This window comes from Homo sapiens, chromosome 3 (genome assembly GCF_000001405.40).
Source record: "Homo sapiens chromosome 3, GRCh38.p14 Primary Assembly".
Lineage (NCBI taxonomy): Eukaryota > Metazoa > Chordata > Mammalia > Primates > Hominidae > Homo > Homo sapiens.
In genome coordinates this window covers 51,742,605-51,767,970 of record NC_000003.12, presented here as the reverse complement: position 1 = coordinate 51,767,970, position 25,366 = coordinate 51,742,605, and the positions used below count along the sequence as shown (strand labels likewise).

Sequence of the window (25,366 nt, the reverse complement as noted above, 5' to 3'; positions counted from 1 at the left end):
TTTAATACTCCTCTTTCAATAATTGATAGAACAACTAGACAGAAAATCATGATTGTAGAAGATTTAAACAATTCCATGGACTAGTCAACCTAATTGACATTTATAGAAAATCACCCCACAACTGCAGAATACATAGTCTTTTCAAATACACATGGAACAGTGTTCAGGATAGACCATATGCTGGGCCACAAAATTGATCTAAATAAATCTTAAAAGATTGAAACCAAAACAGATATGTTTTCTGACCACAGCAGAATTAAATTAAAGATATTTGTTTAATTAATTTAATTTAAAGTTAAATGAAAAGATATTAAACTAAAGATATACAACAAAAAAAACCTTGAAAAAGCACAAAGATTTGGAAATTAAAGAATAGATTTCCAAATGACCCATGGTTCAAAGAAGAAATTACAAGGTAAGTTTTAAAATATTTTGAACTAGTCAGGCATGGTGGCTCACATTTGTAATCCCAAAACTTTGGGAGGCCAAGGCAGAAGAATTGCTTGAGCCCAGGAGTTTGAGAACAGCCTAGGCAACATAGTGATACCTCTCCTATATAAAAAGTCAAAAAATTAGCTGGGCATGGCGGCACATGCCTGTGGTCCCGGCTACTCAAGAGGCTGAGGTCTGAGGATTGCTTGAGCACAGGAGGTTGAGACTACAGTGAGCCATGATCACGCCACTGCACTTCAGCCTGGGCAACAAAGTGAGACCCTGTATCAAAAAAAATTTTTAAAACTGAATTTAAAATAAACAAAATTGATGAAAAATTATGGGATGCAGCTAAAGCAGTGTTTAGGAGGAGTGCTAAACACTCATAAAAGAAGAAAAGTCTCAAATAAATAATCTAAGTTTTCACCTTAAGAAATTAGAAAAAGGATACTAAACTAAACCCAGATCAAGCAGAGAGAAGGAAATCATAAAGAGTCAATGAAATAGAAAACAGGAAAGTAATACAGAAAAACAAGGGAGCCAAAAGTTTGTTCTTTGAAAAGATCAACAAAATTAGCAAATCCTTAGCTACAGTTACCAAGAAAAAAAAAAAGAACAAATTACCAAAATCAGAAATAAAAGATGGGTCATCATTACTGACCTTACTCAATATCAACAAATTGGACACTTTATGTTACATAGACAAATTCCTGGAAAGACACAAATTACCAAAACTCACTCAAGAAGAAACAAAACATCTGAAAAGATTAATAACAAGTAAAGACACTTAATTATTATTAATTTCTTTGAGACAGGGTCTCCCTCTTTTGCCCAAGCCAGAGCACAGTGGCTCTATCAAATGATCCTCCCACATCAGCCTCTGAGTGGCTGGGACTACAGGCATGTGCCACCATGCCCAGCTTTTTAAAAAATATTTTTTGTACAGATGCGGTCTCACTCTATTGCCCAGGTTAGGAGATTTAATTATTAATTTGAAATTTTCCAATAAAGAAAAGTCCATGCTTAGATGGCTTCACTGGTGAATTCTACAAAACATTTAAAGAAGAAATAATACACAATCTAGACAAAGATATTACAGTAAAAGAAAACCACAAACAATATGCCTCATGATATATACACAAAAAGACTTAAAAATATTAGCAAAACAAATTCAGCAATATATAAAAGGATTTTACACCATGACCAAGTAGAATTTATCCAAGGAATTCAAAGTTGGTTTAACATCCAAATATCAATTAATTCAATATGATATGAAATAGAATAAAGGCTAAAAACTATGATCATCTCAATAGACACAAAAACAGCATTTGGGCTGGGCGCAGCCCTTTGCTGTTTTTCAGCACTTTGGAAGGCCAAGGTGGGCAGATCACCTGAGGTTAGGAGTTCAAGACCAGCCTGGACAACATGGTGAAACCCCGTCTCTACTAAAAATACAAAAATTAGCCAGGCATGGTGGTATGCACCTGTATTCCCAGCTACTTGGGAGGCTGATGCAAGAGAATCACTTGAATCCAGGAGGCAGAGGTTGCAGTGAACCAAGATGGTGCCACTGCACTCCAGTATGGATGACAGAGCAAGACTCTGTCTCAAAAAACAAACAAACAAAACAAAACAAGAAACAGCACTTGACAAAATCGAATACCCATTCATAAATTTCTCAGAAAACTAAGAATAGAAGAGAATATTAACTTGATAAAGGGCAGATATGAAAAATGTACAGCTGACACCATACTTAATTATGAAAGACTGCATGATTTTCCCCTAAAATCACTAAAAAGGCAAGGATGTTTGCTTTTGCTGCTTGTATTCAACATATAATAAATATTCTAGCCAGTACAATCAGGGAAAGAAAAGAAGGAAGAGAGGAAATAATGGAGAGAAGGAAGGACAAAGAGAGTGGAAAGAGGGAAGAAAGGATTAAATGCATCAAACTCAGATTATAAAGTAAGAAATAAAACTATCTTTACTCATAGATGACATGTTTGCCAGTGTAGCAATCCTTAAGAATCTTCAAAAACCATGATTAGAAGTAATAAACAAGTTTATCAGGGTTGCATATATAAGATCAATATACAAAAATCAATTAATTGTATTTCCATATATCAGCAATGAACATCCAAAAATAAAATCAAGAAAATTTATTCCATCAAATAGCATCAAATATGAGAGATTACCTAATGGGTACAATATATGTTATTCGGGTGATGGAAAACCTAAATCTCTGACTTGTGTGTAACAAAATTACACTTGTACCCCATACATTTGTATAAATAAATTTTAAAATATCGAATAGAATAAAATACTTGGCAATAAATTAAACAAAATGGGTTATAGACCAAAATCTAAATGCAGAACTGTAAGACTCCTAGAAGATAACATAGGAAGAAAGCCAGATGACCTTGTATATGGTGATGACTTTTTAAATATAACACCAAAGGCATGAAATAAAAGAACCACCATGAGTACTATGCAATAAAAAATGTATTATATAGGTCATGGTGGATACATGACATTATGCATTTGTCAAAGACCATACAGCTGTACAAAACAAAACATGAAACCAAATGTTAACTATGGACTTTAATTAATAATGATGTATTATTTTTGGTTCATCAGTTGTAACAAATGTACCACACTAAAGCAAGGTATTAATAATAGAAGAAACTGCAAGTGGGGAAGAGAAGAGAGGGTATATGACAACTTGTGCTTTCTATACAGTTTTTCTGTAAATCTAAGACTGCTCTTAATAATATTCCATTTTAAAATGTAATACAAGAAATAGATCTTACACAATTGTGGGAGGAATTGAAGAAGTAAAAAAATCTAAAAAATAGAGCTGAAGATCAGAGAAAAGTCACTAATCAGTACTGGTAAGAGTGAATAAGTCAGAGCTTACAGAAAACTCTAGAAAGTAAGCATGTCCAGCTGCTGGATGGGAACTGATGGGGAGGGAGTGGAGACTAACACAGAATTCCATGGAAGGTAGCTAATTTTTGTGATTTCTACCTTTGTGATTTGCAGCAAAGCATCTGGTGTTGGGCCTAAGGCCAGTGTTGGTCGGCATGACTGACTGTCAGGAAGGAGAGCTGGATGCAGAGTAGGAAAATGACAAATTGGAATCCCCTCAACAGGTCTGAACTTGAATTTTTTTTTTTTTTTTTTTTTGAGACGAGTCTCGCTCTCTCGCCCAGGCTGGAGTGCAGTGGTGTGACCTCAGCTCACTGCAAACTCTGCCTCCCAGGTTCAAGCTAGTCTCCTGCCTCAGCCTCCTGAGTAGCTGGGATTACAGGTGCGTGCCACCAGGCCCGGCTAATTTTTGTGTTTTTAGTAGAGATGAGGTTTCACCATGTTGGTCAGGCTGGTCTCAAACTCCTGACCTCATTATCCTCCCACCTCGGCCTCCCAAAGTGCTGGGATCACAGACGTGAGCCACCATGCCCGGCCTGCGCATAAATCTTAATTGCTAACCAATGTCAGCCTTTAAAGAGTAATATGTGCTGCTTCACTTTCACCTCTTGAATCTTATGCAATTTCACTTTGGACTGATTGTCACTCAGAAGTATACATGGAACAGGATTCTGGGAAACATGGTTCCCTGTAAAACCCAGTTGACGGTAAAATGATGTAGCATGGCAGTTCCATTTAATATTTAAAATCAATTCAGGCCAGGCACAGTGACTCATGCCTGTAATCCTAGAACTTTGGGAGGCCAAGGTGGGAGGATTGCTTGAGGCCAAGAGTTCAAGATCAGCTTGGGCAACATAACAAGAACCCATCTCTATTTTTTTTAATAGCCAAATGTAGTGGCACACACCTGGAGTCCTAGTTACTTGGGAGGCTGATCACTTGAGCCCAAGAGGTCAAGGCTACAGTGAACCATGATCATGCCTCTGAACACCAGCCTGTGCAAGAGGGCAAGACCCTGTTTTTTTTGTTTTTTTGTTTTGTTTTGTTTTGTTTTGAGATGGAGTCTCGCTCTGTCGCTCAGGCTGGAGTGCAGTGACGTGATCTCAGTTCACTGCAACCTCCACCTCCTGGGTTCAAGCGATTCTTCTGCCTCAGCCTCCTGAGTAGCTGGAATACAGGCACATGCCACCATGCCCGGCTAATGTTTGTATTTTTAGTAGAGACGGGGTTTCACCATATAGGCCAGGCTGGTCTCGAACTCCTGACCTCAGGTGATCTGCCTGCCTTGGCCTCCCAAAGTGCTGGGATTACAGGCGTGAGCCAGTGCGCCCAGCCAACCCTGTCTTTTAAAAAAATTCAGTGTAAGGGAGCGACATTAGCAAGATGGTTAACTAGGGGGAGCGCCCATAATACCCATAAAACAATTAGCAAGATGGTTAACTAGGGGGAACTCCCATAATACCCATAAAAACAATAATTTGGCAATCCAGGGATGAAAATAGCTCTGTGAGAGCTCTAGAGTATAGTTAAGAAAATGCAGTAAGCCAGCGGAGCACAAAAACAGAGGAAACGTGAAAAACCATTTTACCTTCACCCCATCCCCCATCTTCTAGGCTGGCATAGCTCAGAGCCAAGAGGAAACTCTTTAGCCACAATTTTGCCCTGTGGAGGAAAAGGAGAGAAGGAAAACCCCAGCAGCTTTCATCACTGAAGACCACAGTGACACTCCATACTGTTGAGGATCCCCAGTCTTTACAGACATGGATTCCAGCTGACAGAGCCATCCAGAGCCCATGCCATGCCACCATGAGTGCACCTGTGTCCTGAACCTGGTGCCACTTTGCATACACTCACACTCAGGACCTAGCACTCCCATCCATGCACTGTAACCAGTACTGAGCAGAGCCCACAAATCTATGCCCCCTGGAACTGAAGCCACTTTATTCCTTCCTTTATCAACCATTGTGCCACCATCCCTGGGCATCCCAGACCCAGTGCTACTTCATGCCCACAAAATCCAGTGCTGATGTGTCCCCTGGACTCCGTGCTGCCGTGCCCCTTCCCCCAAATTGGTACTACCATGTAAATCTGAAACTGGTGCTATCATACACCCCCAGAATGAGCAATCCCAGATGCCCTCAAAACAATATTCCATATGTCCTCAGAATTGGCATCCTCACCTGTCCTCAGACTTGGTTCAGCCATATACTTCATCCAGTTGATGTCCTCATGCTCACCAACAGGTGAGCGCAGCTTTCCCAACTGAAGCCAATCCATTAATTCTGAAAGAGGTAACCACTTCTTTAAATGTGCCGATACCAAAGCAAGGCTACAATAAACACAAAAAATAGGAAAAATGTTTCACCACCAGTGAAACACGTACATTTTCAGTAACAAACCCAAAAGAAATAGAGACCTGTTAATTGCCTGACAAAGAATTCAAATGACTGTTTGTTTTTTTTTTTTAAAGCTCACTAAGCTATAAAAGAACACAGGTAACTCAACAAAATCAAGAAAACAATGCATGAACAAAACAATAAGTTCAAGAAAGAGATCAAAATCATAAAAACCAAACAAATTCTGGAGCTAAATAATTATGATTAATAAAATGTAAAATACAATAGAGAACTTCAACAACAGACTATATCAAGCAGAAGCACAAATCAGCAAACTAGAAGACAGGTCACTTGAAATTATCCAGTCAGAGAAACAAAAAGAAAAAAGACTGAAAAAAAGTGGAGAAAGCCTACAGGATATATGAGACACTGTCAAGACAACCAATAAATACATTATGAGAGTCACAGAAGGAGAAAGGAATGAGAAAAGAGCAGAAAGATAATCTAAAGAAATAATGACAGAAAACTTCCCAAATCTGGTGAAGAAAATAGATATTCATATTCGAGAAATCCAAAATACCTCAATAGGTTGAACATAAAGAGGTCTATATCAAAGCACATTATAATTACATTTTCACAAGTCAGAAACAAAAGATAGAATTTTTTTCAACAAGAGAAAAGCAACGTATCACATGTGAGGAAACCCCCATAAGACTATCAGTATATTTCTCAGCAGACCTTGTGTTAAAGCAAATTATGTGTAGACAAGGCCCAAAGAATTCCTGAGCAGAACAAAGTGAATTAGGCCTCATAAGTGACCTTAATTTTGCTTGATTTACAAACATAAGCAAAATTTAACTTGAGCTATTTTTTGTACATGACTATATGAAAAAAAAAACTTAAGTTCAATCAATCAGAAGCAGCCAACAAATATATAATTAGGAAACTTCCAGTAGGATAGATCAAATAAGGCAACTGTATAACTGTAACTAATCAAATATTTTCTTTGCTTTACTTCTGTGTTTGTCCTGTAAAAGCCTCCTCCTTTTGTTTTCTTTCTTTCTTTTTTTTTTTTTTTGATGGAGTCTCGCTGTGTCACCCAGGCTGGAGTGGAGTGGCATGATCTCAGCTCACTGCAAGCTCTGCCTCCCAGGTTCACGCCATTCTTCTGCCTCAGCCTCCTGAGTAGTTGGGACTACAGGTGCCCACCACCACGTCTGGATAATTTTTTGTATTTTTTAGTAGAGACGGAGTTTCACTGTGTTAGTCAGGCTGGTCTCGATCTCCTGACCTAGTGACCCACCCGCCTCGGCCTCCCAAAGTGATGGGATTACAGGCATGAGCCACTGTGCCTGGCCTCCTTTTGTTTTCTTAGTCAAGCTCCCAAACCACTTCTGGTTTGAAGATGCCCAAGTCATGAACCACTGTTTGCTCAAATAAACTCTAAAATTTTGTTGAGTCTCAGTTTACCATGTTAACACTTAAAAGCCCAGAAAGAGAGTAGAATGAGATACTCAAAGTACTGAAAGAAAAAAAAAAAACCTGCCAACCAAGAATACTATACCTAGCAAAATTAATCCTTAAAAGTGAAAGAGAGGCCAGGCGCAGTGGTCCATACCTATAATCCCAGCCCTTTGGGAGGCCAAGGTGGGCAGATCACTTGAGCCCAGGAATTCAATACCAGCCTGGACAACATAGTGGGACCCTGTCTCTAAAAGAAGAAAAAAAGCCAGTTGCAGTGGTTCATGCCTGTAGTCCCAACACTTTGAGAGGCCGAGGCGGGTGGATCACTTGAGGTCAGGAGTTTGAGACCAGCATGGTCAACATGGTGAAACCCCATCTCTACTAAATGCCTGTAAGCCAAGCTACTCGGGAGGCTAAGGCAGAAGAATCACTTGAACCTGGGAGGTGGAGGTTGCAATAAGCTGGGATCACACCACTGCACACCAGCCTGGGCAACAAAGTGAGACTCCACCCCCTCCCCCCAAAAAATATAAACAAAGAAAATAAAAATTAAAAAAAAATTTCTTTAATGAAGGAAAGATAAACTCTTTCCAGAAAAGAAAAAAAACTGAGTGAATTAATCACCACCAGCTCTGTGTTACAGGAAATGCTTAAGGGAGTTCCTCAAATTGAAATAAAAAATAAAAGCATGCTAAACAGCAATGTGAAAGCATATAAGAACATAAATCTCACTGGCAAATACATAGAAAAATACAAAATAATGTAACATTATGAGGATAAACTATTTTAACCGTCATATGAAAGTCAAAATAAAGTTTGTTAATATATACACAATATTTTAAAAAGTAAAATCAGACTACAAGAACATAAAGTGGGTGCAGGAAGTAAAAGTGTAGAGTTTTTATGTAGAATTGAAGGTAACTTGTTATCAAATTAAAATAAATGGTTATAACTACAAGATATTTTATGCAAACCTAGAGATAACAACAAAGAAAAAAAACCTCTTAATAGATATATAAGTTTAAACAAAAGAATTTAGGCTGGGTGCAGTGGCTCATGCCTGTAATCCCAGCACTTTGGGAGGCTGAGACAGGCAGATCACTTGAGGTCAGGAGTTCAAGACCAACCTGGCCAACATGGCAAAACCCCATCTCTACTCAAAATACAGAAAAAAAAATCAGCTTGGTGTGGTGGTGTACGCCTGTTATCCCAGCTACTCAGGTGGCTGAGGCACAAGAATTGCTTGAGCCTGGGAGGCAGAGGTTAGATAATGCCACTGCATTCCAGCCTGGGAGACAGAGTGAGACTGTCTCAAAAAAAAACAAAAAAAAGAATTTAAACAAAACATTACAGAAAATCATCAAACAACAAAGGAAACCAGGAAGAGAGAAAGAGGAATACAATAAGTGCAAAATAGGCAAAAAACAAAATGGCTGTAGTAAGTTTTCATCTATCAATAATCACTTTAAACTTAAGTGGATTTAACTCTTCAATCAAAAGGCATAGAGTAGCCAAATGGATCAAACAACAATAGCAACATCCAGCAATATGCTGTCTACAAAAGACTCTAGATTTAAGAGCATAGATAGGCTTAAAGTGAAGGAATGGAAAAAGATATTTCATGCAAATGGTAACCAACAAAAAGCAGGGGTAGCTATATTAATATTAGACAAAATAGACTCCTAAGTAAAAAAACTGTCACAAGAGACAGAGAAATTCATTATCTAATGATAAAAGGGCCAACACAACAGGAAGATATGACAATTCTAAATGTAGATGCACTCAATATCAGAATACCTGAACATGCAGAGCAAATATCAACAAATCTAAAGGGAGATATTAATAGCAATACAGTAATATCAGGGGACTTCTATGCCCCACATTTTTTAAAGCCTATGGATTATATTGAATATACCCTTAATTTTATAAATGGATAAAACATCCAGACAGAAAAACCAATAAAGAAACAGCTGATTTGAACAACAATATAGGCCAAATGAACCTAATAGAAACATAGAAAACATTCTACCCAACAGCAGAAGAATATACATTCATTCTCAAGTGTACACAGAACATCCTTCAGAATAGATCACATGTTAAGTCAAAAAACAAGTCTTAACAAATTTAAGATAAAAATTGTTTCATGCATTTTTTTCTGACCACAACAGAATGAAACTAGAAATCAATAATAGTTAAAAAAAGGAAAATTTACAAATACATGAAAACTAAACAACAGACTCTTGAACAATCATTGTGTCAAACAGGAAATCAAAAGGGATTTTAAAAGCATATCTTCAGACAAACAAACAAAAACACAACCTATCAAAATTCATGAGACTCAGCAAAAGCAATACTAAGAGAGAAATTTATAGTATTATATACTGTATTAGTCCGTTTTCACGCTGCTGATAAAGATCTATCTGAGACTGGACAATTTACAGAAGAAAGGTTTAATAGACTCAGTTCCACATGGCTGGGGAGACCTCACAATCATCGCAGGAGGTGAAAGCCATGTCTCAAGTGGTGGCCGACAAGGGAAGAAAGCTTGTGCGGGAAACTCCCCTTCATAAAACCATCAGATCTTGTGATATATATTCACTATCATGAGAATAGCATAGGAAAGACCCGCCCCCATGATTCAATTACCTCCCACCCGGTCCCTCCCACAACACATGGGAATTGTGGGAGCTACAATTCAAGATGAGATTTGGGTGGGGGCACAGCAAAACCGTATCATATACCTTCACTTAATATGGAGAAAGATCTCAAATAACCTAACTTTATACCTCAAAGAACTAAAAAAAAAGAACTAACTAAGCCCAAAGTTACCAGAAGAAAAGAAATAAAAAAAAATTAGCACAAAAATAAATCAAATGGAGAATGGGAAAAATATTTAAAAATCAACAAAACTAAGACTTAGTTTTTTGAAAAGATAAAATTAACAAAGACTTAACTAGACTAAGAAAAATGGAAAGAAAACTCAAGTAAATAAAATGGGACATGAAAGCAGAGACACTACAATGGATGCTTCAGAAATAAGTTTCATAAGGGACTATTATAAACAACTATACTCCAAAAAATTGGATAACCTATCAGAAATGGATGAATTCTTAAAAACATACAACATATCAAATCTGAATCAAGAAGAAATAGAAAGCCTGAGTAGATCAATAATGCATAAGGAGATTGAACTAGTAATCGAAAACTTCCCAAAAAAGAAAAGCACAGGACCAGAAGTCCTCATGGGTAAATTGTACCAAACATTCAGAGAATAATTAATATCAATTCTTCTTAAACTTTTCCAAAAAAAAAGGAAGAAACTTATTTCATGAGGCTAGCATCACCCTGATACCAAAGCTAGACAAAGACATCACAAGAAAAGGAAGTTATAGGACAACATTCTTGATGAACATGGATGCAAAAGTCCTCAATAAAATACTAGCAAACTGAATTAAATAACACATTAAGAAAATCATACACCATTATCAAGTGAGATTTATCCCTTGGATGCAAGGATGGTTCAACACACACAAATCAATAAACTTGATACACCACATTAACAAAATGAAAGATTAAAAACACATGATTATCTCAATAGATACAGAAAAAAATTTTGACAAAATTCAGCATGCATTCATGATAAAAATTCTCAAGAAGTATTCAAGAAACATTCCAACACTGTAAAGATCATATGTGAAAAGCACACAACTAACATTGTAATCAATGGGAAAAACCTGAAAGCTTTCTGATATAGTTTGGATATTTGTCCCCTCCAAATATCATGTTGACAGTTGATCTACAATATTAGAGGTGGTGCCTGGTGGGAAGTGTTTGGGACATGGGGGCAGATTCCCTCATGAACAGCGTGGTGCTGCCCTTGTAGTAATGGGTGACTTCTACTCTATTAGTTAACACAAGATCTGATTGTTAAAAAGAGTCTGGCACCAACCTTCTGTCACTCCCTTCCTCTCTCACCATGTGATGTGCATGCTCTCCCCTCACCTTCTGCCATAATTGGAAGCTTCCTGAGTTCCTCAGAAGGAGATGCTGGTGCCACACTTCTTGTATAGCCTATGGAACCATGAGCCAAATAAATCTCTTCTCTTTGTAAATTACCTTGGGTATTCCTTTACAGCAACACAAGCAAATAATTACACTGAACCCTGTTGGGCACTCTCTAATTGGATGTCCTGGGTCCTCCCAAATCTTAGTCCTTTAATACCTGTTTTTGTCCTTCTCTTATTTGGACCTTGTGTCTTCTGTTTAGTTTCTCAATTCATACAAAACCACATCCAGGCCATCACCAATCATTCTATATGACAAATGCTCCTTCTAACAACCCCACAATATCACCCCTTACTCCAAAATCTTTTTTCAGTTTAATCTCTCCCGCTCTAGGTTCCCACACTGCCCCTAATCCTGCTCAAAGCAGCCCTGAGAAACATTGCCCATTATCTCTCCATATTACCCCCCAAAATTTTTGCCACCCCAACACTTCACCACTATTTTGTTTTGTTTTTCTTACTAATATAAGAAGACAAAAATGTCAGGCATCTGAGCCCAAGCTAAGCCATCAGATCCCCTGTGACCTGCACATATACATCTAGCTGTCCTGAAGCAACTGAAGAACCACAAAAGAAGTGAGAATAGTCGGTTCCTGTCTTAACTGATGACATTCCACCATTGTGATTTGTTCCTGCCCCACCCTAACTGATCAGTTGACCTTGTAACATTCCTTCTCCTGGACAGTGAATCTCAGGAACTCCCCACCAAGCACCTTGTGACCCTGCCCCTGCCCGCAAGAGAACAACTCCCTTTAACTGTAATTTTCCACTACCTACCCAAATCCTATAAATCTGCCCCACCCCTATTCCCTTTGCTAACTCCTTTTTTGGACTCAGTCTGCCTGCACCCAGGAGATTAAAAAAGCTTTATTGCTCACACAAAATCCATTTGGTGGTCTCTTTACATGGATGCATGCAACATTTTGAATTATCAGACTGAGAATGTAATATAACTATGATTAATATTCTAAGGAATCTAGTGGAAAGGGGAACAATAGGAAAGAAGAGATGAGTAATGAAGCAACATGCTAGAAATAAAAAACAACACCAACAGAAATGAAGAATTTGTTTGATGGGCTTATGGGTAGACTGGACATGGCCAAGGAAAAAAAATCAGTGACCTTGAGAACATGTCAATACAAACTTCCCAAACTGAAATGCAGAAAGAAAAATGAATGAAAAAATAAAACACAAAATCTAAGAACTATGAGATAAATACAAAAGCTGTAACATATGCATAATGAGAATACCAGAAGAAAAGAGAGAGAAAATAACAGAAGAAATGTTTAAAGTAATAATGGCTGAGAATTTCCCAGAATTAATGACAGACAACAAAACGCAGATCCAGGAAATTCAGAGAACAACAGGCAGGATAAATATCAAAATATCCACACCTAGGCATATCATAGTCAAACTGCAGAACATCAAAGAAAAATAGAAACTTCTGAAAGAAGCCAGAGGAAAAACAATGCATTACCTATAGAGGGACAAGGATAAAAATTACATTGAACTTTGCTCAGAAATCATGCAAGTAAGAAGAGAATGGAGTGAAATACTTAAGGAATTGAAAAATTTTAAACTCCAGCCTAGAATTCTATATCCAGCAAAATTATCCTTCAAAAGTGAAGGAGAGAGGATTCCGGGCAGATGGCAGGGATCAATCTCTCCATCTAGACAACTGCTGTGCTGGCAGAATCTACCTGATGTAGCTGTTTTGGAACTCTGGAGTTTAGAAGAAGGCTTGTAACTTGCAAGGTAAGGCTTGGACTGTAAATTGGCATTAACTTTGATCCATTTCAGTTCTTAGCATAAAAAGTAAAGTAGAGGTTCCTCTTCAAAGACTTTCCTCCCTGTCTAATTAGGAATAAATAGTAACTTCTCTTAGAAGCAAAATTTATTCAAAGACCTGTGCTAACATTCTTAAATATCTGCTAGACATAATAAAGAAATCAATGTACTTTATATTCTTAGCTCCCACAATTTAGCCTAAATATTTGCCTTGGCATGCTTATACTGGTCCAAGCAAGCATTAGGTCATAGCCTGTTCCTCTTCCTTATTTGAAGGTGTTTTTTACCTTTCTTAGCATTCCACAAGTTACTTCCTCTTTCCTTTCTTCTCCTCTGCCTTTGCCTCTTTTAAAAAGTTCTAAGTTGCTAGCCAATCGGGACAAATACAGAGTGTGAGGTCCCGTTCCAGCCAATGGAAACCAGACACAGCAGTAGGGTAGACGTGTCAGGTTATAAACGACCCTGTCTCCTTTGTTCGGTGGACTCTCATGGCAAAACTGCTGGTGAGTGTACCCTTTGTAAGAAAATGGCCTTGCTGGGGAAATTAAATTTGTGTTCAAGTGCTATTTTCTTTTTTTATTTTATTTTCTTTCCTTCCTTCCTTCCTTCCTTCCTTCCTTCCTTTTTTTGAGACAGTCTCACTCTGTCACCCAGGCTGGAGTACAGTGGCACGATCTGAGCTCACTGCAAGCTCCGCCTCCCAGGTTCACAGCATTCTCCTGCCTCAGCCTTCTGAGTAGCTGGGACTGCAGGTGCCCGCCACCATGCCTGGCTAATTTTTTTGTATTTTTTAGTAGAGACGGGGTTTCACTGTGTTAGCCAGGATGGTCTTGATCTCCTGAAATTCATGATCCACCCGCCCTGGCCTCCCAAAGTGCTGGGATTAGAGGCGTGAGCCACTGCGCCTAGCCTCAAGTGCTATTTCTTTACAGCACCAGGGAACAAGCATTTCAAACATCAGCATGGCAGTATCTACCCATTACCCACCCCCAAGCACTGTGGTAGGCATCCATGCACACGTTCCAGGAGCACCTTGCACAGTTCACAGAAACTCAGGTAGACAATGAGGATCCTGTCCTCCAAATGTTGGCAACTTGTGCTCTGATTACTGATTGCTGCTTCTGATCACAGAGGTCAGACACTGAGGTGGGCAATCATTGTTACAACCTGCCACACCCTCACCCCATTGTTGCAAGCCCCTCCCCCTCCAGCTGAAGCAACATCCAAAAGATTTAAAGGACTAGAATGTCTTTTTTTCCCCTCACACTTCATTTTTCTCTTTTTCCTCTTTTGGGAGCCAGGGATTTAAAAGCTAGGATATTCCAAGCAACCAAATTATAAAGCCACTGCACATACCCAGGAAAAAGGACAGGTCTAGAAAAGATCTGAGAGACCTTAAGTTTACACTTCAGGCTGATCCTGGCACAGAGACAACCCACAACAACTTAAATTTTAAAAAGAAAGAAAAAAAACCCAGCAAACTCTGGGAAAAGGGGAGAATCTAGTTTCCAGAGTTACTACCTTATTCATCATATGCCTAGTGTGAAAAGAAGATATCTTGGGCCCCCAAAATCACTAAGCTAAAGGGAAAAGTCAAGCTGGGATCTACTTAGGGCAAACCTGCCTCCCATTCTGTTCAGTCACCTCTCTGCTCACTGAAATAAATGCATATCTGATTGCCTCCTTTGGAGAGGCTAATCAGAAACTCAAAAGAATGCAACCATTTGTCTCTCACCTACCTGTGACCTGGAAGACTTCTCCCCACTTCAAGTTGTCCCACCTTTCCTTTTCAAACTGAATCAATGTTTATTTTACATACATTGATTGATGTCTCATGTCTCCCTAAAATGTATAATGCCAAGCTGTGCTATGACCACCTTGGGCACGTGTCATCAGGACCTCCTGAGGCCGTGTCATGGGTGCACATCCTCAAACTTAGCAAAATAAACTTTCTAAATTAACTGAGACATGTCTCAAATTTTCAGGATTCACATTTGGTAACCATGGATGGCTTCTGAGTGGAGATGTCCCTGACCTTTGACAAATTTCCTATTGGTGCTTGATGCCAACATGAGCTAACTTTATAGCTCAAACCAATAGGACAATTTGCTGAGGTCTGGGAGCACCCCTCCAGAAGGTCACCCAAAATTTGGTGGAGAGCTAAAGTTTATTTTGCTGTACATTTCCGTTTTTGTTTTGTTTTGTTTTGTTTTGTTTTGTTTTGTTTGAGTTTTACTTGCTTTCAAAAAGGAAGGCAAGATTTTTTGTTTCCATGATGATGGAAGGCAGGTAACTCTTTGCTAGAGTTTGAGCCTGCTCCCAGCGGGGAAGATGAGTTCAAGTTTTTCCTGCTTCTAGGGTGGTAGAAAACAGTCTTCAGCCTGAGACCCAACCCTAGGTAAGAAGCTGAATTGCGGTTTTGCCCTGGCTAAAGTTTAACAACCACCTGGTCTTAATTTCTCCTTACCATTAGAGCACTCAATTATCATATTGTTGGGGGTTTTCATTGTTGTTTTGTTCCAGGCTTTCTCCCATTGGATTTGACAACTCTACCTGCCTTGGTCAAATCTGAGTGAGAATTCCAAATTATGGGTAACAAGGTCTCTCTAATTTGGCTAAAATTCCTTGCAGCTGCAAAATTTAAAAAAAAGAGAGAAAACAAAAAAACATGTGTTTGGTTTCTGTGTTTGCTTCCTGTCTTAAAAAAAAATTGTTCCTTTGATTACTTTTCTTCTGCCCTATACCTTCTTCCCCCTTTGCCATCTGCAGTACCAAAAAACCTAGAGAAGGCTTCTAATGACTTGAACCCCTTTAAAGAATTCAGAACAAAGGTGCTACTCACCCCCTTTTGGGGTGTTTTGTTTTCTTTGTGGAGTTTCAAGAGTCATGGGTAGATTCCTTTTAGGTCTAAAGCTCTGTTTTCCTGTATTGCATGACCTGACCTCTTTGGCTTTGGGGGTACCAGAGATGAATTTGCACTATGAGAGGATTTGACCTTAGCATGTATAATGTTGGGTGAGAGCTACAAAGTTACAGGTGGCTGAACACAGTTTACAGGAAGTAGTATTGGCTGTTTTTCTTTTTTTTTTTCTTTTCTCTCCTAGGAAGGTGTTGGTTAAGGATCCTAATTCTAGTTCAGAGATGCATTCTACAGGGTCTTCTCTATTGCTTTTTCTCCCAAAATTAATCTTAATTCAGTTTCTCTGTGCACATTTGTGTGAGGAACTGAACTGGTGTTTTCATAGGTTAATGAGAGACTGAGTTTTTCTCAGATCCAAAGAGAAAGGGGATGTGCTCCTCCCAGCCGAAAGGTGCTCCTGGATGGCTGGGGGCCTTGTGGCAGTGTCTGGGGAGTTGATCCCCCATGCAGTGGCCCTGCAGGGAAATCCCCAACAAAAATTAATTTTAAAAATGGCTTATCCAGAAAATGCATATAAGGACTGATCACCTGGCAGCCCTCTCAGAGGTCATAGACCTCTGGAGAGAGAAACTGAGACATGTAAGAAGGTGGAAACAACTCAGTGGTGACACACTGTGGAGTCTTGCCCACAAGCAGCACACATCGATCCACCACACAAAAAACCCTAGGCCACAGCTCAGTTCCTCCTTTTAATAATAAAAAAAAAAAGTGGGACACAAATAATATAAGAATTAGGAGAAAACAAGGAGAATGACCCCCTTTCAAGCACTCTGTAGGTTTTATGGAACCTCTACTTGCCAGAATAAAATGGAGACAATATGGTCTTTGTGCACATTGACATTAAGGAAAAAGAGCCCTAAGGCCAACCTGCAAACTATAGCATTCCTAGGTCCTCTTTTTCTCTATTTTCTTTTCTGCCATCTTGAAATTTGCTGTTTCTTTTCTATTTATTTATTTATTTATTTATTTATTTATTTATTTATTTTTTGAGACAGAGTCTCACTCTGTTGCCCAGGCTGGATTGCAGTGGGCACATCACAATCTTGGCTCACTGCAACCTCCACCTCCCGGGTTGAAGCAATTTTTCTGCCTCAGCCTCCCAACTAGCTGAGACTATAGCTGCACACCACCACACCCAGCTAATTTTTGTAATTTTAGTAGAGATGAGCTTTCACCATATTGGCCAGGCTGGTCTGGAACTCCTGACTTCGTGATCCACATGCCTCGGCCCCCCAAAGTGTTGGGATTACAGGCATGAGCCATCATTTCCAGGCAAATCTGCTGTTACTTTTCTACTAAGATAAAAACCACTGTTTGGCTCTAACAGGTTTGTTTGTTTGTTTGTTTGTTTGTTTGTTTTTGCAAGCTGGTGAACTTGTATTTATCAGTATCTAAAGTACTGAAGTAAAAACTATAGAATCTTTCTGTGTGTGTATGTGTGTATGTATATGTATAAGTGTGTGTATATATATTTGAAGGCCTTTATAATAGACTCCTATAACTTTATGTTCTATTGGCAATTAAATTCACTTTAATTTCCCTCTAGCTCACCAGACTTTTTCTTCATATCTTATGATGTAAATTTTGTTATCTGATTTTCACCTGAGTTGTTTCCTTTAATATGCACATTTAAGGCTATTTAGCTGATGACTGCCTAGGGTAAGATTTAAAGAAAAGAAAAAAAAGAAGGTCTTTATGAATTTATAAGATGTACTTCTATTGACATGCCTAATACATCTATATATGTATGTGTTGTGTACACAATATTTCACTACTAAAAATATACAAAAGAGCTCTAATTAATTGGCTTACAAATAAATAAATAAGGCAGGGTGCAGTGGCTCACACCTGTAATCCCATCACTTTGGGAGGCTGAGGTGGGCAGATCACCTTAGGTCAGGAGTTCAAGACTAGCCTGGCCAACATGGTGAAACCCCATCTCTACTAAAAATACAAAAATTAGCCAGGCATGGTAGTGCACACCTGTAATCCCAGCTACTTGGGAGGCTGAGGCAGGAGAATCACCTGGACCCAGGAGGTACAAGTTGCAGTGAGCTGAGATCTCACCATTGCACTCCAGCCTGGGCGGCAGAGTGAGACTCTCTCTAAATAAATAAATAAACGCACTTAAATCACATACTAAAGAAAAAAGACTAGCCAAATGCTATTTCAGTTTCACATGACTTAAGTAAAATCTTTAGTAAATAAGCTGGCTCTTAAATTATTGGCAAAATAATATTAGAAATGTCTTAAGACTTTGCCAGCATACATTTTTGCTTGCATTTATTAAGCAATTTCATACTTATCACTGCCAAATACTATAAGGTGTCAAAATTTGGCATAGGGGTTGTAAAACTACAAACCCAGCCCAAAACCGAATGATCCTTGCTTGTGTCATCTTTAATAAATAAGACATTGATATTGGTTTAATAAAAATTGCTACATCTTGAATTTAGTAAGATTACCATAATTTTTAATCTTGTGGTTTTAGGTGGGCTAGTCCACGGTCTGTAAGGTTTATTATTATCTTTGTTTCAAAAATAAACTATAAACTAAGTTCTTTCCAAAGTTAGCTCAGCCTACACTCAGGAATGAACAAGAACAGCCCAAAGGTTAACAGCAAGATGGAGTCAGTTGAGTCAAATCTTTTTTACAGTCTCAGTTATAATTTTGCAATGGCAGTTCCATAACTTTAAGTGATGACTATCAGCCAAGTGCGGTGGCTCATGCCTGTAATCCCAGCACTTTGGGAGGCCAAGGTGGGCAGATCACCTGAGGTCAGGAATTCTAGACCAGACTGGCCAACATAGCGAAACCCCATCTCTACTAAAAATACAAAATTAGCCAGGTGTGGTGGTGCATGCCTGTAATTCCAGCTACTCAGGAGGCTGAGGTGGGAGAATCACTTAAAACTGGGAAGCAGAGGTTGCAGTGAGCTGAGATTGCCCCATTACACTCCAGCCTGGGTGACAAGAGTGAAACTCTGTCTAAAAAAAAAAAAAAAAAAAAACCCAGCAAACAGAAAACTGATGACTATCACAGCTTTTGTAAATAATCTAGGTAAACAATTAAAATAAAATAATTAGGTAAATGTAATAGGATAAATACTTGTAGACAAATTCATCATAATTTAGAATCTAAAGTTATATTAAATTAAATAACAGATATTTCACTATTTGGGTATTTTCCAATAAAAATATATTTGTAGGAAAACATTCTTTCTAAAAAAAAGTGTGTCCTTTAAAAAAAAGATGAACAATTTTTGTCTAATTCAAAGCTTATTTAAAGGTCATGTATAAAACAAGGTAAAAAGAATGAGGACATACAAGAGATGTAAAGAAAGTTATAAAAATAGAGATTTTTTTTATGAGAAAGCTTAAAGAAAAATAATTTCATTTTAGAAAGAATCTCATATGGTAAATTCAGTCCTACATTAAAATAACTGGCTGTTTAAGAAGGAGGGATGTTCAGGATAAACCAGAAACTCCAAGCATGTCATGAATGGTCTGTGTAATAAAATTTTTTTAAAAACAAAACTTTTATATAATCAAGTTGTCACATTGTTATAAAGTTTTGGTTTGCTTAGGAAAAAAACGAAGATTGAAAATTTTTTTTTATTAAGGTTATTACTTCCATGTATCTTTCTGTATGTGTTTTTGAAGGACTTATGACATTGAGTTATAGGGCTTTGACTCCTGGGTCTAAAAAGGACACCAAGTCCTGCTAAATTTTAAACACTGACAGCAATTAAATCCCCATCTTCAGGCCTGGTAGAAGATGCCAATCAAAATAAACTGCATTCCTGAAACACAGGGCCAGAAATTAAAACTATTTAGCTCCTCAAGGCCCAGGGACTATTGCAGAAGAGATGGGCATATGAAATTGTAAGGGCTGATTTTGAGAGATAAAATAAGTTCTGTTTCTCTATAAATTAATCATTAATGTCAAAGGCACAAGCATATGGGCCCATGTCAGATTAACAAGGTTTTCTTGACTCATTAACCACCTCCTAAATATAGGTTATGAAAGGCTTATGGAAGTTGTATCTTGTGGTCAAGATTAAAATTTTGGTGGAGGGTTTTAAGTATTTTCCACTGGCTGGCTTTGGTTATGAGTACCTTTCCCTCTTCTGTCATTAACCACCCAGGGGAGAAAACTGTGCCCCTGTGAAAGTCCCCATTCTGTTTCAGTCAGGGAATACTGGGGCTTAATCTCTTGGAGAGGGTTGTTCCATACCAAGGGTCCTTCTGTATGTATTTCTAATGGGAGGTTCCACCTGGCAGCAATTTTGGCCTCAGCATCTGTCCAACGGTTTCCTTCTGCCTTTTCTCCTTCACCTTTCTGATGGCTTTGGCAGTGTAAGACAGCCACCTCCTTGGGTTTTTGCACTGCATTCAATAACTCCATTATTTCCTTGTGGTATTTAATGGGGGTTCCCCCAGAGGTTAGGAACTCCCTTTCTTTCCATTTTGCAGCATGGGCATGTAGGATTAGATAAGCATACTTGCTATCTGTGTACACATTTATTCTTTTTCCCTTTCCCAGTTCTAAGGCTCGGGTAAGTGCCACTAGTTCTGCTAACTGGGTGCTGGTCCCTGGAGAAAGAGGCTTACTTTCAAGTACTGTTACATCACTAACTATGGCATAACCTGCCCTTCGTATCCCATTCTCCACAAATGAACTTCCATTGGTATATAGGTTAAGGTCAGGATTAGCTAAGGTGACTTCCAAGAGATCCTCTTGGGCAGTCTAAGTCTGGACTATAATTTGTTGGCAGTCATGCTCAATTGGTTCTCCATCCTCTGAGAGAGCAGTGGCAGGGTTAAGGGCCACATATATGCATATTTGAAGCACCGGTCCCTCAAGGAGTAGCACCTGGTATCTAAGCAGGCAGTTGTCTGATAGCCATAAACTTCCTTTGGCACCTAGTATGCCATTTACATCATGAGTAGTCCAGACAATGAGACCCTTTCCTTGTATTCCTCTGATACTAAGATGGCCACCGCCGCAACTACATGTAAACAGTGAGGCCAGCCTTTTGCTACTATATCAGTTTCCTTACTTAGGTATGCCACTGGTTGTGGGGTTGTCCCACCAGTCTGAGTATTCCCAAGAACTATTCCTGCTCTCTCTGTGATGTATAAAGAGAAGTTTTGTCCTGTGGGAAGGCTTAAGACTGAATCTTGTACTAGGGCCTGTTTTAAGGTTTTGAAGGCTGTTTCTGCTTCTAGTTCCCATTCTACTAGATGAGTATTTGCCCTCTGGGTCTCCTTGATTAGAGTATGGAGGGGCCTGGCTATCTTGCTGTATCTGGGGATCCATAGTTGGAAAAAGCCAGTGATTCCAAGGAACCCCCACAATTGTTTTAATGTCTTAGGGTGAGGATAAGCCAGTATAGGCTGTATTCATTCCTTGCTGAGGGCCCTGTTTCCTCTGGCTAAGATTAGGCCTAGATATTTAACTTGTTGTAGGCAGAGCTGGGCCTTCGATTTAGATGCCTTGTAACCTTGGTTAGCTAGAAAGTTCAAGAGATCTAGAGTAGTCTGCTGGCATGAGTCTTCTGAACTTGTAGCCAAAATTAAATCATTCATATACTGAAGGACCAGAGTGCCTGGACTTGAGAAGTGGCCTAGATCTTGGGCCAGTGTTTGACCAAACAGATGAGGGCTATCCCTAAACCCTTGGGGCAAGACCATCCATGTAAGTTGGGACGTGTGGTCTGTGGGATCCTTGAAGGCAAAGAGAAACTGGGAGTCAGAGTGCAGAGGAATACAGAAGGAGGCATCCTTGAGGTCCAGAACCATGAACCCTTCTGCCTCCCATGGTATTTGAGAGAGCAGGGTATAGGGATTGGGTACAACCGGATATAGAGGAATTACTCCCTCATTGATGAGTCTAAGATCTTGCACTAGTCTCCACTGACAATTCGGTTTTTGTACTCCTACAATTGTGGTGTTGCAGGGACTGCTGCATTTTCTTACTAAGACTTGAGCTTTTAAATGTCTAACGGTATCCTGTAATCCTTTATGAGCTTCAGGCCTTAAGGGATATTGCCTTTGATAAGGAAAAGTGGTGGGGTCTTTTAGCCTGATTTGGACTGGGCAGGCATGTTTTGCCTTTCCAAATTGCCCTTCCAATGCCCAGACTTCAGGGTTGATTCCCTCCTCAAGTAGGGGACAACAAATGGGTAACTTGTTCCCCATATTCATATAGATAATAGCTCCAGCTTTGGCTAATATGTCCCTCCCTAATAAGGATGTGGGACTTTCGGGCATAACAAGAAAGGCATGTGAAAAGAGCAAAGTCTCCCAATTACAACTGAGGAGGTGGGAGAAGTAACAGGTTACAGGCTGTCCCAGGATTCCTCGGATGGTAACGGACCTTGAGGACAGCCTTCTGGGGCAGGAGATTGACACTGAGAAGGCCATGCCACTGTCCAGGAGGAAGTCAATTTCCTGGCCCTCAGTGGTTAAACTTACCTGGGGCTCAGTGAGGGTGATGACATGAGCTGGTGCTTCCCCTGGGCACCCTCAGTCCTGTTGTTGGATCATCTGGTTGGGGGCTTCCGGCCCAGAGAACCTTTGTCCTCTGGGGCAGTGTGCCTTCCAGTGACTGCCTCAGCATAGTGGACACGGACGATGGGGCAGCTTGTTTCTCGTCAGACAATCTTTTTTAAGGTGCCCTTGCAAACCACACTGGTAACAAACCCTACTGGGTGACTGGCCTGCTCCATTTGCTGTCCTCTCTGAACCACCAAGGTTTGTTTGTCTGAGGGCCATGACTAAGGCTGCAACCTTTCTCTGATCTCGTTTTTCCTTTTTGGCCTGTTCCTCTTGGTCTCTATTATAGAACACCAAGGTTGCCAGGCTTAATAATGCCTCCAGATTTTGTTCAGGGCCCAGGGCTCACTTTTGGAGCTTTCTCCTGATATCTGCAGCTGACTGGGTAATAAACTTATCTTTTAGAATCAACTATCCCTCGAGTGAGTCAGGTGACAGGGGAGTATATTTTCTTAAGGCCTCCCATAGCCGCTCGAGAAAGGCAGAAGGATTTTCTTCCTTTCCCTGAGTTATGGTAGACATCATTGAATAATTCATGGGCTTTTTCCTAATTCTCCTTAGTCCTTCTAGAACAAAGGTCAACAAATGTTTGTGACTCCAGTCCCCATGATCTGAGTTGAGGTCCCAGTGGGGATCCATACTGGGGATGGCTTGCTGACTGGTAGGAATTTGTCTCTTGCTTCGGCTGTCATTCTATCATTTACTTGACTAAGATACCATGTATCTCCAAACTCTTGGGCTGCAGCTAAAGCCACATTCTTTTCATTAAAGGCCAGGGTTTGATCTAACAATAGCATGACATCTCTGCAAGTGAGGTTGGAGGTTTGCCCTAGACCCTGTAGGACATCTATGTATCTATTGGGATCATCTGAAAACTTTCCCAGGTCTACCTTGATCTGCTTTAAATCAGAGAGGGAGAAGGGAAAATGTAGCCAGGTTGGGCCAAATTCCCCTCCCCCTACAGCTTGAAAGGCTTGAAAGGGACATAACCAATAGCCCAGGAGTTTTTGTGGTCCTTTGGAGATTTCTTTGCTTGTTTCCTTCTGGGTAGGGAAGATTAGAGGAGGCTTATCATTAATAGGAAGGGGAGCTATAGGGAGGCTAGGATATGGGGGTAAGCTGAGAGGTCCTCTTGTGGGATGTAAATTGCAAGCTTTGCATAGTTGTGGATTCTCCTTCAATGAAAAGAAAGCTTGGACATAAGGTATTTCACTCCATTTGCCTTCCCTCTTACAGAAAATGTCAAGCTGCAGGATAGTGTTGTAATTTATACTTCCCTTGGGTGGCCATTTTTCCCCATCAGAGAGAGAATATTGGGGCCAGGCCATAGTGCAGAAAAAAATAAGCTGCTTCTTTTTCAGGATTTGTGGGTCAAATTGGTCCCAATGGCTTAGGATGCATTTCAAGAGCGAGGCTCTTGATGCCTGAGTGTTTCCCATCTGAAAGAAAAAACCATCCACGGTTTTGGCTTGTTTGTTTATCTCCCCCACCCAAGAACCCACAACAGTCCCTGGACCCTGCTGATCAGAATAGTTGTGCTCACTGACGCAGCAGCAGATCTCCCTCTTGCCCAAGAACCAGCAACGGTCCCTGGACCCTGCTGATCGGAATAGTTGCGCTCACCAAAGCAGCAGCAGAAACACTAGTTTTCCTCCTAGACCACAAGGAGGACCGAGGAAGGTCAGATTTAGTAGCCCTTACTGACACATTCTTGAAAACCTGCACCCTTGCCTTTCCTCTTAGACCACAAAGAGGACCGAGGAAGGTTGGATTTAGTGGCCCTTACTGACACATTCTTGAAAACCTGTTAGAGTCCTAAGCATTTTCTCCTGTTAGTATTGGGACCTTATCCCTGTCCTGTAAAGATGATATGACCCAAAAATGGAGTGGAAGGCCATACACTGAGGGAGGGAAGGGATCTCCAGGGTTGGAAGAGTGATACATTTTGTCCTCACTTCTCATCATATGAATAGGAAGGATATCATTTATGAGGCTCCCCATATCCTAGCTTTGGTAATAGCCTTTGTTAGGCCTGCTAGACTGAGGAGGGATCCTAAAATTGCAGATAGTCTCCCCCACTAGGTGGGGCTTTGGGCAAAAATTATGTCTTTCTGATTGGTGAGGCTGGGTGCCTAAAGAAAGGAACAGAGTCCTGAAATTTATACTAGAAATCATTCTTATAGGAGAAACTAGAAAAGCACCAGAGACAGGGAGTGGTTTTTAGAAGCAGAACTAGCTTTGGAGAAGAGAGGCAGGAGGAAGTTCATCTGACAGGCGTTAGGACCCAGGAGTCAAGGGTCAGGATAGACAGGATAGATGGGCGAGTCTCGCTTGGGTGATGTAACTTTGAGAGTTCTGCTTATGGCTGCAGGGTCAACCAACTTTTTATCAGGACCCTGGAGCTGAATGGCTTTCCTCTCTGTCACCCTTGGCTCAGCCCAGTACAGGAAAAGTGGAAGCTGGATCCAGGTAAACCAACGTTCCCAACTCCAAAGAGTTGGGGGTTGTTAGAGAGCCCTTTCCCAGAAAGCCTGACACCCATATCTTTAGTCTGGTGGCTGCGCTAGTCGCTTTTAACTGGCTGACAGGTGCCCACTGTTTAGCCCCCAAATTCTAAGAAAAAATAGGCAGAATAGCAAGTGAAAGGGGTCCAGTTGTACTCACCACTTGGCGAAAGTTCCATCCGGGTTGCCAAGATTTGTCTGGAGTTGGTTCCTATAGGTGGGTTTGTGGTCTCACCGACTTCAGGAATCAAGCCGCGGAACTTTGCAGAGAGTGTTATGGCTCTTAAAGGTGGTGTGGACCCAGAGAATGAGCAGCAGCAAGATTTATTGTGGAGAGTGAAAGAACAAAGCTTCCACAGTGTGAAAGGGG

General features: G+C 40.0%; 1 long non-coding RNA gene across 2 annotated transcripts in view, besides 1 other annotated feature; it reads right to left on the bottom strand.

The window, feature by feature from the left end:
* The window catches only part of LOC105377087 (uncharacterized), a 51,385-nt gene extending 38,052 nt beyond the window's left edge, over positions 1 to 13,333 (bottom strand). Inside the window, exons 1-3 of one of the 2 annotated variants that reach the window (XR_001740698.1) lie at positions 13,300 to 13,333; positions 5,541 to 5,689; positions 4,960 to 5,022 (exon numbers count right to left, since the gene is read on the bottom strand). This is a non-coding gene — a long non-coding RNA (uncharacterized LOC105377087). Of the gene's footprint in view, positions 1 to 4,959; positions 5,023 to 5,540; positions 5,690 to 13,299 lie in introns of those variants that run through there. The other variant, XR_940838.2, reaches the window with a different exon arrangement.
* Positions 24,582 to 25,082: an enhancer, noted in NCBI's record as "H3K27ac hESC enhancer chr3:51776905-51777405 (GRCh37/hg19 assembly coordinates)". NCBI's record gives its function as "activates a minimal SCP1, AML or CMV promoter by ChIP-STARR-seq in primed H9 embryonic stem cells {active_cell/tissue: H9 hESC(primed)}" and the evidence as "EXISTENCE:reporter gene assay evidence [ECO:0000049][PMID:30033119]".